The following is a 12,426-nucleotide window of genomic DNA, read 5'->3' as shown; positions in this document are numbered from 1 at the left end:
TGTGCCCTGTTCTTCTTAACATTGCACAGTAAGGACATATGCAAAGAGCTATGCAATTTAGCAACATTTCTGTGGGTTGTCTGTTTTTAAAATGTACTCATTCCTAGAAAACAATGCAGCCAAATTAACTTTGACCAAAAGCATTTGAGATGTTTTCCGAACATTTGTGGTACACAAACCAAAGAGTTTATCATAATTTTCCAGATGAAGAAAGAGAGATATACAGAAATTAAATTACTTGCCCTAGAGTAAGAATATAACCCAATAAATTTTGCTAACATTTGAAGTTGCCAGAGGCCATGTTAATTATTGGATACCTTTAAAAGGGCCCTATGACATCTGATTGCCAAAAGAGATGTTTTCTGTTGAGGTTACTTTCAGTTGAAAGTCTACGAATTCTTTTAAAGACATGTTTTACCTAAAAACTGCTAGAAAACATTGGTTTGTTTTGAGGACTACCCTTCTTAAGATTTTATAAAAATAATAATTTAGTTTGTAATCAGCTTTTTATATAAAATAATGCCATGTGTTATATGTCATTTATCCAATGCTCATTTTCTAGGTGTACGTTGCAGGAAAAAATAATCATATGTCAAGTTAATATCCTACTCCTGGATTACACCATTTAACTCTCTGTCTCTCTCTCACACTTGAGATATCTATAAGACCACTCTATAACTCTATCACACTTTATTTTGTTCTGGCTCTGGGGCTGGCTTTCCCAGGAAGCCAAAGAAATATAGAAAGGAGGAATATACAATGACCACTCTTCCACTCTGATGCCTTCAACAAGAAACTATATTTCTTCATAACTGGACATTTAACACAACACACGGCATCCTAGACTTTTTTTTATCTGCAAAAAAGAATCCCATTTCTTGATATGACTTAAAGCAGGGATTAAATAACCCATACACACACACACACACACTCACACACACACACACACACACACGTTCTCACATGTGAAATAGATGGATGTATATATTTATATATGTATAAGTTTGGTTATTCATCTCAACTCAGGAACACTCTCCACTCTCTTCTTTAGTGCCCACGAGATGAGATGCTATAAAATAGTTGCCCTCTGGGCTGGAGAGCCTACACTAGCAGTTTCAGATCCTTCACTGTCACTGTAGTCATTCTACTGTACATCACTTTCAATATTTTTCCCTGTAGGGAGTATCTACTCAAATAAATTGAAAACCACTTTCTTCTGCTTCTGTTAGTATACTGTCCACTAGTAAAACATTCTTTACCTGGGCCATTGCTAACAATTAACAGGACATTTCATGTTTCAGAGTGTCACACCCTCCGCAGATTGTTCTGCCCATTCATAACTGGGAACCAGAAGAGGAGCCCCACAAAGAGGAGGAGGTTGGACCATTGGTGGAACATATTTATGAGGTAGCCATTGTCTGTGTTAAAGTTGTGTTAGGGGTTTATTCTTAAGCTCTGTGCAAATAAATTCTATGTAGCATTATTATCATTATCATTATTATTATTGAGACAGGATCTCGCTGTGTCTCCCAGGCTGGAGTGCAGTGGTGCAATCACAGCTCACTGCAGCCTCGACTTTCTGGGCTCAAACAATCCTCCCATCTCAGCTTCCTGAGTAGCTGGGACTACAGGTACACACCACCACACCTGGCTAATTTTTGTATTTTTTTCTAGAGACGGGGTTTTGCCATGTTGCCCAGGCTAGTCTCAAGCTCCTGAGCTCAAGTGATCCACCCACCTGAGCCACTCACAGTGCTATAACTACAGTAGATAGCATTTTAAAGGACATCAACCCAAGTTCCGAGCTGTATATACTGCCTAGGTTCATGCTGTTATGCTCTCATACTGCAGTGGGGTGTAGTGGGTGTTCGGTTGAGTAATACTGGATATAATCACTTGTTCCTTAGTAGGAAAGCCATTACATAGTGAAAACACTTTATCTTGTTACTATTGTTGTTGTCATTGTTGTTTTTAATTATTTCCATTTTTTTAAATATTTGGACAACCTAGACATAAAAATGGCTAGCTTCCTAGACATTACTTCATTTTTTCCTATATTTCAGATATGTTTATATCTTTTAAACTGAAGGTTACCCACTCATCTTTTAAACTGAATGTCACCAACTAGAAGGTACCAGACAGAAAACAATAAGAACTATTCATTATTGTGCTAAAAAAAAAATATATATATACATATATATAAAAGCGCCCGGGTGTGGTGGCTCACGCCTGTAATCCCAGCACTTCGGGAGGCCAAGGCAGGCGGATCATGAGGTCAAGAGATCAAGACCATCCTGGCCAACATGGTCAAACCCCATCCCTACTAAAAATACAAAAATTAGCTGGGCTTGGTGGCGTGAGCCTGTAGTCCCAGCTACTCGAAAGGCTGAGGGAGGAGAATCGCTTGAACCTGGGAGGCAGAGGTTGCAGTGAGCCGAGATCGTGCCACCGCACTCCAGCCTGGCGACAGAGTGAGACTCTGTCTCTAAAATGAAATAAAAGCACATATAATATATGAGATGGGTAGATGGTACATAGATAAAAATAATTTTACTTTTCATCCAAAGAACCCAAATTGGAAATGAATATCTTATTCTGAGATTTTTAAATAGTTCACTGATTAGTAAAATATTTTCCAGAAGTGAACCAGTGATGCATAAAAAGGAGCTGATGTTCTTTTCCCATTTCAGGCATTAAGTTGTGAACAGGGAGAGGATCTGTTGACCCATCACCTGAAACATTTAAGCTTTTTTCAGTTAGAAGCCAACATATATGGCTGGGCACAGTGGCTCAAGCCTGTAATCCCAGCACTTTAGGAAGCTGAGGTGGGAGAAGCACTTCAGGCCAGAAGCTCAAGACCAGCCTGGCCAACATAGCAAGGGCCAATCTCTAAAAATAAAAAAATAAACAAACATAAATAATTTTCTAAAAAGAAACCAACATATAGCAAAGGGTTAGTTTAGTAGTTATTCAGGTTTTTGTTTGGTTTTGCTCTGTTTTTGCTTTTGTTTTTTTTTTTAAATAAAGTCAATGCTAGCAGTAAAGAGTAGTTATTCCTATTCGTTTTCAAGGGACCAGGCAGGGAATTTTGGTAAAACCATGTTCCAAGGCGTTCTGTTTGAGGTTCCTTCTCGATTAATGCCTTCTGTTCCTTTCCTATGTAACTCATGCCTCTAATCTAGTAATTCTGACTATGACTTTCATCTTGAGCTACAAGGGACATGAATAACATCCTCTAAGATTAACAATAAAGCCTTTTCAAAAGTGATGAACTGTTTACAAACGTAGGGAAGATGCCTCAACTCCTGGGCAGCATCAGCATGAAACCCTCCATCATCCGCCCAACCTGTGGCCCAGATTCAGGAGCCTTGTCCAAAGCTGGATCAAAGCTTTGCCTTAAGCTCTTTTGATAGCAAAAGGATAACACAGTCACCAAGGCCACTCTGATTAAGAACCTCACTGGAAAAAAGAAAAAAAAAAAGCTGTCAAATAATTTAATAAAGCTGTGTGTCCTGGTTTCTGCTCAAGAATGGTGAAACTTTAAAGTTTGAAAATATATTCAGACCCAATCATTCTCAGGGCAGTCCTGCTTCAAATCTTAGCATAAATGTGGATCATGAAAGTTTAGGGTAGCTACTGGTAGTGCAAAAAGCAATCATCAAATATTGTGTACATTGCTAATCTCGTGACTCAAAATATACTATATCAATGGTTGCCAAGCTTCTTTGATAAGGTGAATTAAATAGGCCATCTAATAAGCAAAAGCAATTATCCATTGTTTTATAGATCACTGTAATTTTCAGAACTGAGAAAAAAAGAAAAAGAAGAAAATCCCTGCTGACTTTAAATTTTTAAAACACTGGAATAAATGTAAATGCACTTAGTGTTTTGGGCAAACAATTTTGTGTCCTCCAAGTATAGGATTCACGTGTTAAAAAATGTTCATCTCTTTATGAGATGTGGCCTTTCTTGCCTTGAGATCTGCTGATGGAAACAGAAGGAGCTCAGCTTTGAAACACGCACTCGAAATGAACTGTGGTGATCATGGGCCCGCCTTGGCACTTGATGGATGGACATTCTTCCAGAGGGTGAAAGAGAGTACATCACATATGGTTGCAATTGACAGTCAGTAGTCAAGAAAGCGGAGGCAGATTTCAATGTAAAGAGACAGTCACTAAGTTTTGAAGGCATAAAATCAAAATTAAAATTTCTAGCGCTATGATTAAATTAACATAAATTTAAAACCAGCATCACAGTTATCAGACAAGGGTAGTATGGTCTTCAACTGAGGAAATCCACTCTTAGAGCTTCACAGATTGAAGAGTTTTCTCTAAACACCAGCCCATGATGCTTTCAGAGTGCTTCTTGCCATATCGACTTTGAATTTTCTTATTTTCCATAGTCATAGTCCAGATGACTTAAAACCAATAATACATGCTTTCTAAAATGGGTATAGAGTATATGGAGTTTGATTTTATCTCTCTGCCTTCTGCTGGGTCATTAGATAACATGTCACTTGTTTACAGCTGCACAATATTGGACCAAGTACCATCAGTGACACCATCCTGGAGGTGGGCTGGCCTTTCTCTGCCCGGGATGAATTTCTTCTCTATATTTTCCATATTCAAACTCTGGGACCTCTGCAGTGCCAACCAAATCCTAATATCAATCCACAGGATATAAAGGTAGGAGTCTGGTCTAATCAGTGGCTTTGTTGATTTTATTTTTATGGTATGAAAAAAATACAAACTGGGCTTGTTTAAAAAAGAAGAGTGAAATCGTTTTAAGTTGCTTCAGTGATCATTGATCAGAACTTTTCATTTTATAGTTAAAACACCAAGCCTAATTTAAAATATCCCTTCTAGCAAATTTAAATTTCTTTTTGTTTTGTTGCTTATGGTGACTTGTCATTTATTTCACCCATTTTAATAGGCACCTTTTATTTTTGGCTCAATTAGCAGCACATCCAAACCAAAATCATAAATAGACATATCACATCTGGGAGAATTAGTATAAAATGCTATTTTTAAAGTCTTTTTGGTCTATTGCCAAATTTCGTAAGGATCTTTGCCAAAAGAGGCTCTTCCAGCTGCAGCCCATAGCAAGTGGTGAACCGTGGCAATTTGCCAAGGGCCATGAGAACTCCCAGAAAGGAATGTTCTGGACCCTATTCTTTAATTGAAGCTTAAAGCCTAGAGCCGTGCTTTTCAAACTTCCTCTGAATCACCTGGCTGTCTGTTAAAATGCAGGGGCTGGGGTTGGACCTGAGATTCTGCCTCTCTGCAAGCACCCACCTCCTGTGCCTGATGCCAGTCTGTGGGCCTGACTTTCACAAACAAGGAGTAAGGAGCTGATCCCATCCAGATTAACATCCAAATTTGGCTTTCATGTTTTTCTGTGAAAGAAAGAAATTAATTAGCATAAGCCCTTGAAAATGCCACATTTGTATAAAGAAAAACAAAAGACAACAACATCTTGTAGTCAGATATTGTCCTTAGGAGATAACTTCATGTAAGAACGAACGTTCTCCTAGTAGCTACCAGGACACAGTGTCTCTATTAAAAATGGCGCAGCGCAGGCTTCATGGAATACCCACGCCACCAGCCAAGACAGAGCAGGTCTGCCCCTACCTCAGCCAGTGACACTGGGTCATTGCTCATTCTGAAAGGCATTCTTTTTCAACCCAACATGCCTCCTATTCAAAGGGAAGACTAAAGGGGGTTCATTAGTAAAGGACTTATGAGACAACAGCCTCCTCCTTTATGTAGAAATTATACATAAGGCCACTTGTGTTACACAAGATTCTTTAAAATATTTCCTTCCTGGAATTTTTTTTTCTCATTTCCTCTTTGCTCTTCATTGAGATGATTTTAAATTCTTTAAGGACAGTAGCTTATTATAAAATAACATCTGCAAATGCAAATGTATAACATTTAAATAATTAACACTTTTACATATCCTGCATTGCATTTAACATGTACTTTCAGTCATAGATTCTTTGAGCACATGATTCTGCAGAGACCTCTAACTCTTTTTGAGTGTAATGTTTAGTTTATATCTGACACTATTTATATATGTTTGTATATATTATGTAACTGGTTTAATGTACACCATGTTGGTTGTGAGTTATTTGTTTTTTTGTGGCATACTGTGACTACGATAGTATTAATAGATGACTTGTCTTAAATGTTGACAGATTCTTGCAAACCAAGCCATAGTATATACTAAGCACCTGGTGTTCCCTACTCCCCACTTATTCTCTTTTTTTTTTTTTTTTTTTTTTTTGAGATGGAGTTTCGCTATTGTTGCCCAAGCTGGAGTGCAATGGCGCCATCTCGGCTCACTGCAACCTCCACTTCCTGTGTTCAAGCAATTCTCCTGCCTCAGCCTCCCAAGTAGCTGGGATTACAGGCGTGTACCACCACGTCTGACTAATTTTTTTGTATTTTTAGTAGAAACGGGGTTTCACCATGTTAGCCAGGCTGGTCTCGAACTCCTGACCTCAGGTGATCCGCCCACCTCGGCCTCCCAAAGTGCTGGGATTACAGGCGTGAGCCACTGCGCCCCGCCCCCACTTATTCTTTAATGTATGTGCTTGGAGTAAAATTCTGTCTGAGGCTAATACTTTTAAAAATGCAATTCAATTATGTTCATTTTCCTAAAACTTTCAATCTGTGGAAATTGAATATAAGATTTAAATACAATATAAAGTAATATCTCCCTTAAATAACTAATCATAGCAATTTGTGAATTTTTGAAATTCTAAATTCATAGAGAAGTTGAAATGTTATTACTTTCAGGTTCTCAAAGTACTGTCACCTATACTTAATAAATGCTCCAGAGAGTCTAAAGGAGCTTTTATTAATAGACATTAAAAAACAGATAATCAAGAGAGTTTACATTAGTGACTATAAATAATTGAGAGTACTGGAAATTATTCTCCTCTTATGATGCTAAATAATTTTTTGGTGAAGTTGCTATTAACTTACATGGCAATTTAATTTTTCCTAGAGAATGCAAACGTCATCTTTTCTTGATATGACTTGGACTTTAGTGAAAAACAAATAATCTCTTACCTGTTGTTGTCTTCAACAGAATAGATCTGAGAAATTTTTAATTTTAATAACCATTTTAAATTCAAATTAGCATGAAAATGAATTGCTGTTAAAAAAACAAAACTGTGCCATAGCCAGGCACAGCGATGTTTGTAGCTACTCGGAAGGCTGAGGTGGGAGGATCACGTAAGGCCAGGAGTTTGAGGTCAGCCTGGGCAACATAGCAAGACTTCATCTCTTTAAAAAAATTGTATAGTTAGTTTTATTTTTAGTAAGAAGCAGACAGAGGATGGGCTTACTAAAAGGAACAGGGAGGCAGCAGAAATAACATTTGTCAAGGCAAGAATTCAATTCCAGTATCCAATCTTACTCACCGGGGAAGTGAACTAAGCTTCAATTCCTGATTATTTGGTTCTACAGTTTCTTTACAAGAAGAGTGATCTAGATAGTAAGTGCCTCATAAAACAGCTGCATCTGTGAGTAGTTCATGTCTACACATTCTTCACCCTTTCTGAGGATGCTCCAGTCCCCACTGGACTAGCCCCCAAAATGTCCCAGGCCACCGTGGGCCTGTAAGAGAGGCGCTCTCTCCCCAGCTTTCTAAAGCTGAGGGATTGGCCATTTCCTTCCTACGTTTTCCTCTTTAATCATTCCATTGATTTTCTTTCAGCAAAATCCCTTTCCCTCGTGTTCAGATACACTTTGTAGTCAACGTCCCCTTTCCTTATGTGTTCTTAAGTTGCCCACTTCCCACTGGAAAAATGCTCTCTTCTTCGTTACCTCTCCCTGATCCCCACAGATCTCTAGGAAAACTTGTGAAAAATAAGCCAGACTTCCTAAGAAGCATTTTAGAGGTCACACACTCCAGGGATCCATTGCCACTAACTCTAAAGCCTTCACAACTTCCCAAATATGCCCTGAGAATCCCTGCAAGTTCCCACATACTTCCTAATTTTTCTCAGTTAAATCGATTTCCACCTAATGTAATGTGCTGAATGTAATGTACTTAACAAATGGATTTTCTTCTATTTTTTAAATTACTCATATGGCAGCAGTCCTGGACATTGTTATTTTCCTTACAAATACATACTTTGACGGCATCAAAGCCCTATTGAGGATTAAGTTGGGTTTTTGTGGACTGGCTTGAGAACTGAAACACCATTTAAAACATCATTTCTAAAGAGAAATGCATTCTGAATGCCAAACATCTAGCCTAAAACCTTCTGAAATACAACCGGTCTATAACCTGGATATGCACTCCAAATACAACATAACTCTGAAAGTCTTCTCACATAAGTCTCAGCATCTGATAAGACCCAAACAAGGTTCAGGTATTTTTTATCACAGTAGAAACTGGTTATAGTTTGGTTATCTCAGCAAGCTACCCTAATGTCCCCAAAGTTTCAGGAGGAGACACTGACTGCTTTTATAAGCTACCACTGGGATCATCCTGTAACCTGTGGCTGTTTAAAAAACAGTGGTGAAAAGTTCTCATCCACAACCATCTCACTTGTTGCCCAAACACAGAGCATTAGCAACTAAATTGGGATGGGGCAGGGGCAGACACACACAAATGCTTCTAGAAGTCAGTGAGTTCTTATTCTGAATATTTGTCTTGGACCAGGAGCATGGCTCGTGCCTATGATCCCAACTCTTTGGGAAGCTGAAGTGGGAGGATCACTTGAGGCCAGGAGTTTGAGAGCAGCCTGGACAACATAGCAAGACCCCATTTCTACAAAAAATAAAAATAAATTAGCCAGGCATGATGACACATGCCTGTAGTCCCTGGAGTCCCAGCTGCTCAGGAGACTGAGAAAGGAGAATTACTTGAACCCAGAAGTTGGAGGCTGCAGTGAGCTATGATCACACTACTGTACTCCAGCTTGGGCAACAGCATGACATCCTGCCTCTAAACAAATAAATAAATAAATACTTGCCTCATATCAGGGTTTATGGGATTCACTCAGCTTGGTTTGTTGACACTTTCAACCCTTAGGGCGTGAGGGAAGGTGGAATCAAGGGTGGGCAACAGCCTGGGGGCTGCAGGAGATCAGGAAGGGCTGGGTGAGCTGCACAACTGGTGTTTCCCCTGTGAATTGTCCCCAGGGCCCAACTGAGGTCAGCCTAGGGGCATGGAAGTGCCTTGAGGATGTCCCTTCCCACTTTCTCTTTTGCCTCCCAATGAAAATGTCTCTGCCTTTGAGTTCCTGTTTCTCCGGTGATAGTTTCTGCTTCATCAGGTTCAGTTGTGTTTTCTGTAAGTTTAGGGGCATAAGCAGATGCCCGGGAAGGGTCTCCCTCCAGGCTTCAGGGTCTAGGTCAGAGATAGAGGATTTTAACATGGCACCTTATTCACATCGTACCATCTACAACATTTTGAAATGTTCAACTGTCTGCAGCATCCAAAGCAATCCATTAGAGCTAATTTTTTTCCAGATCCTTCTTGGAATAAAATTTTAGAGTTGAGTGAAGTATTTCTCAACTAATCTAAAGCCAGTACAATAATTATTTCAAACTATCAATTTTCTTATTTGATGGGCTTTATCCTAGGGTTTGGAGAGTCCTGCACACAGACTGTTATCTTTAGATAAGATGAGGTTGAAAAAGTAAAACCTATTGAGGAGCCAAAAGTTTCATAATGAGTAAAGGATTTTTCTTTTTCTATTTTTTTCTTCTTTTTTTTTTTGAGATGGGGTCTTACTCTGTCAGTCAGTCTAGAGTTCAGTGGTGAAATCTCAGCTCACTGCAACCTTTGACCCCTGGGTTCAGGTCATTCTCCTGCCTCAACCTCCTGAGTAGCTAGGATTGGCACCCGCCACCACACCTGGATAGTTTTTGTATTTTTAGTAGAGATGGGTTTTCACCATGTTGGCCAGGCTGGTCTCGAACCCTTGACCTCAGGTGATCTGCCCTCCTCAGAGGCCGGGTGCAGTGGCTCACTCCTGTAATCCCAGCACTCCTCAGCCTCCCAGAGTGCTGGGATTACAGGAGTGAGCCACTGCACCCGGCCTCTTTTTTTTTCTTTTTTTAAGACAAGGTCTCACTCTGTTGCATGGGCTGGAGTGCAGTGGCACTATCTCTGCTCACTGCAACAACCTGTCTCCCAGGCTCAAGCAATCCTCCCATTTCAGTCTCCCAAGTAGCTGGGACTACAGGAATGTACCACCCACCTTGCTGATTTTTGTATTTATTTGTAGAGATGCGGTTTCACCATGTTGCCAAGGCTGGTCTCAAACTCCTGAGCTCAGGCAATTCACCCACCTCGACCTCCCAAAGTGCTGGGATTACAGGCATGAGCCACCATGCCCGGCCTAGGATTTTTCTTTAATTGGCAAGATTTTGTAATAGACAGCTAAGTGTGAGATGCAGAGGGAAAAGGCTTAGATGTGAAACCGTACCTAGGAGAGGAAGACCGATAAGATGCCCACATATAACCTATGTTAAGACTATGGAACACCATTTGGGGCCCAAGTTCAGGAAAATAATCCTGAGATAAAAGTGGCCTGAAAGACTCTATAGACTAAGAAGGGCTTAACATGAGAGAAAGCTGATGCTGTTTGTAAAAACTGCTGTGAGAGCCGTGGAAAGCTGGAGGTTGCCGCCGAGAATGTCTCCTGAACCAGACCAGTCCCATGGGAAGTCCAAATTACAACCAGATAGTACAAACATGGAAAGCGGAGACACAGAAACCGTCCGTTCTTTAGGAATGAGAGTTTTAGAGTTATGTTTTAGAATGAGTGGGCCCGCAGACAGTGGCTTGGCAAATTTGCATAGTTTTGTCTTATCCTTTAGGGTACTTTCTTCTTCCTAACTGCCTTCGTGTACTGGTTTTCCTTAATTCAGAATGCAGGCGCTCGTTACTTCCTAGCACAACAGTTCTTGACCTCTTTCCCTCTGTCTCTCACTCACGCGTGCGCACACACACACATACCCTTAAAAATCAAGACATATGGCTAGGCACAGTGGCTCATGCCTGTAATCCCAGCACTTTGGGAGGCCAAGGCAGGAGGATCACTTGAAGTCAGGAGTTCAAAACCAGCCTGGCAACCATGGCAAAACCCCATCTCTGCTAAAAGTACAAAAATTAGCTGGGCGTGGTGGTGGGTGCCTGCAATCCCAGCTACTCAGGAGGCTGAGGCAGGAGAATCGCTTGAACCCGGGAGACAGAGGTTGCAGAGAGCTGAGATCACGTCACTACACTCCAGTCTGAGTAACAGAGCAAGACTCTGTCTCAAAAAAAAAAAAAAAAAAAAAAAAAAAAAAAAAATCAGGACATGAAAGGAAGAAGATTATTTAGTATATCTTTACCATTAACTCCTGATTTCTTTGTGGAATCATTTTGACAGCCTTGACCACAGGAACCGTAATTTATGTCCTAGCTGAAGCATTATTTGATGGCTGTTACTTGCCCCTTCAATACTCGGCTGTCTTCTATAAACTCTCCTCCCAGAAAAAAACAGAACAAAACAAAACAAAACAAAAAAGAACTTAGCTGTTTATTATTTTAGAAGGTCTGATCAGGAAAACAGTAGTCAATTTTAATTTACTTCCTCTCCAATTGTGACGTACTAGTGACATCTATGGCTTGCCCCTGGACCTGGTCAGTCTGTCCTAGGTATGCTTCCTCTTTCTTATGGGAATGCTACCTGTGATAGAAGAATTGTATTTGCCTTTTTAAGAGTGCCTGAAGATCCAATTCTCGACCATCAAAAAGAATTACACAGTCTGAGATTTTTACCTTCTCTTTGAGATGGTCTTCAGGTTTGCACATATATTTTGGAATGTAAAAACACCATGTTCAAATACTAAGAAAGCATCAACATCACCAGTGGAGTGAGTAGATTCTTTTAGTTGTGCTTTGCATGAACTTTTCAGGAGGTTAAAAAAGTGGGGGTTTTCTTTCCCTACAAATCCTCAACATTCATGTCTTAAAGAAAATTACATGGTGGACTGCCCCCCAGGGCTTGTCTCCACTTCGGTTTAATTATAGGCAAAGTACATGAGAGTTGTCTGTTGTTTCTTGTGTGCTAGGAATACCTGAAATCCAAAAACAAATTACAAACAAGAAAAAGATAGTGTGCATTGCTTTTGTTTGGGTTCACAGGGCCCTTCATCTAATTTCACCCAACTCCTTTTTTCAAATGCCACATTTCCGACTGTACTGCACATCCTGGCTGCACAGTATCCCTTTAATCCATAAATTTAAACCTATGACACAGTGAAGAGTTTGGTAAAGAATGATGAAAATAGAAAATTCCTGTTGGGCTAAATTCTGAGTAGCAGCTGTAAAAAGAAACATGTTTACCAACAATTATTTCCTTATTGCAGAAAGAAGTCATTTTCATTTGTTCTACAGAAGACACTTTAGTGG

General features: G+C 39.9%; 1 protein-coding gene across 2 annotated transcripts in view; it reads left to right on the top strand.

Annotated features, from left to right (window-relative positions):
* ITGA8 (integrin subunit alpha 8) overlaps positions 1 to 12,426 on the top strand; it is a 205,969-nt gene that overhangs the window by 143,027 nt on the left and 50,516 nt on the right. For both annotated transcript variants that reach the window (NM_001291494.2, NM_003638.3), the window contains 2 exons: positions 1,302 to 1,407; positions 4,527 to 4,685. In NM_001291494.2, coding sequence (NP_001278423.1) covers positions 1,302 to 1,407; positions 4,527 to 4,685 — 265 coding nt within the window. The remainder of the gene's footprint in view (positions 1 to 1,301; positions 1,408 to 4,526; positions 4,686 to 12,426) is intronic.

Source organism: Homo sapiens, chromosome 10, assembly GCF_000001405.40.
Source record: "Homo sapiens chromosome 10, GRCh38.p14 Primary Assembly".
Taxonomy (NCBI): Eukaryota; Metazoa; Chordata; class Mammalia; order Primates; family Hominidae; genus Homo; species Homo sapiens.
This window is presented reverse-complemented; position numbering and strand designations above follow the sequence as displayed.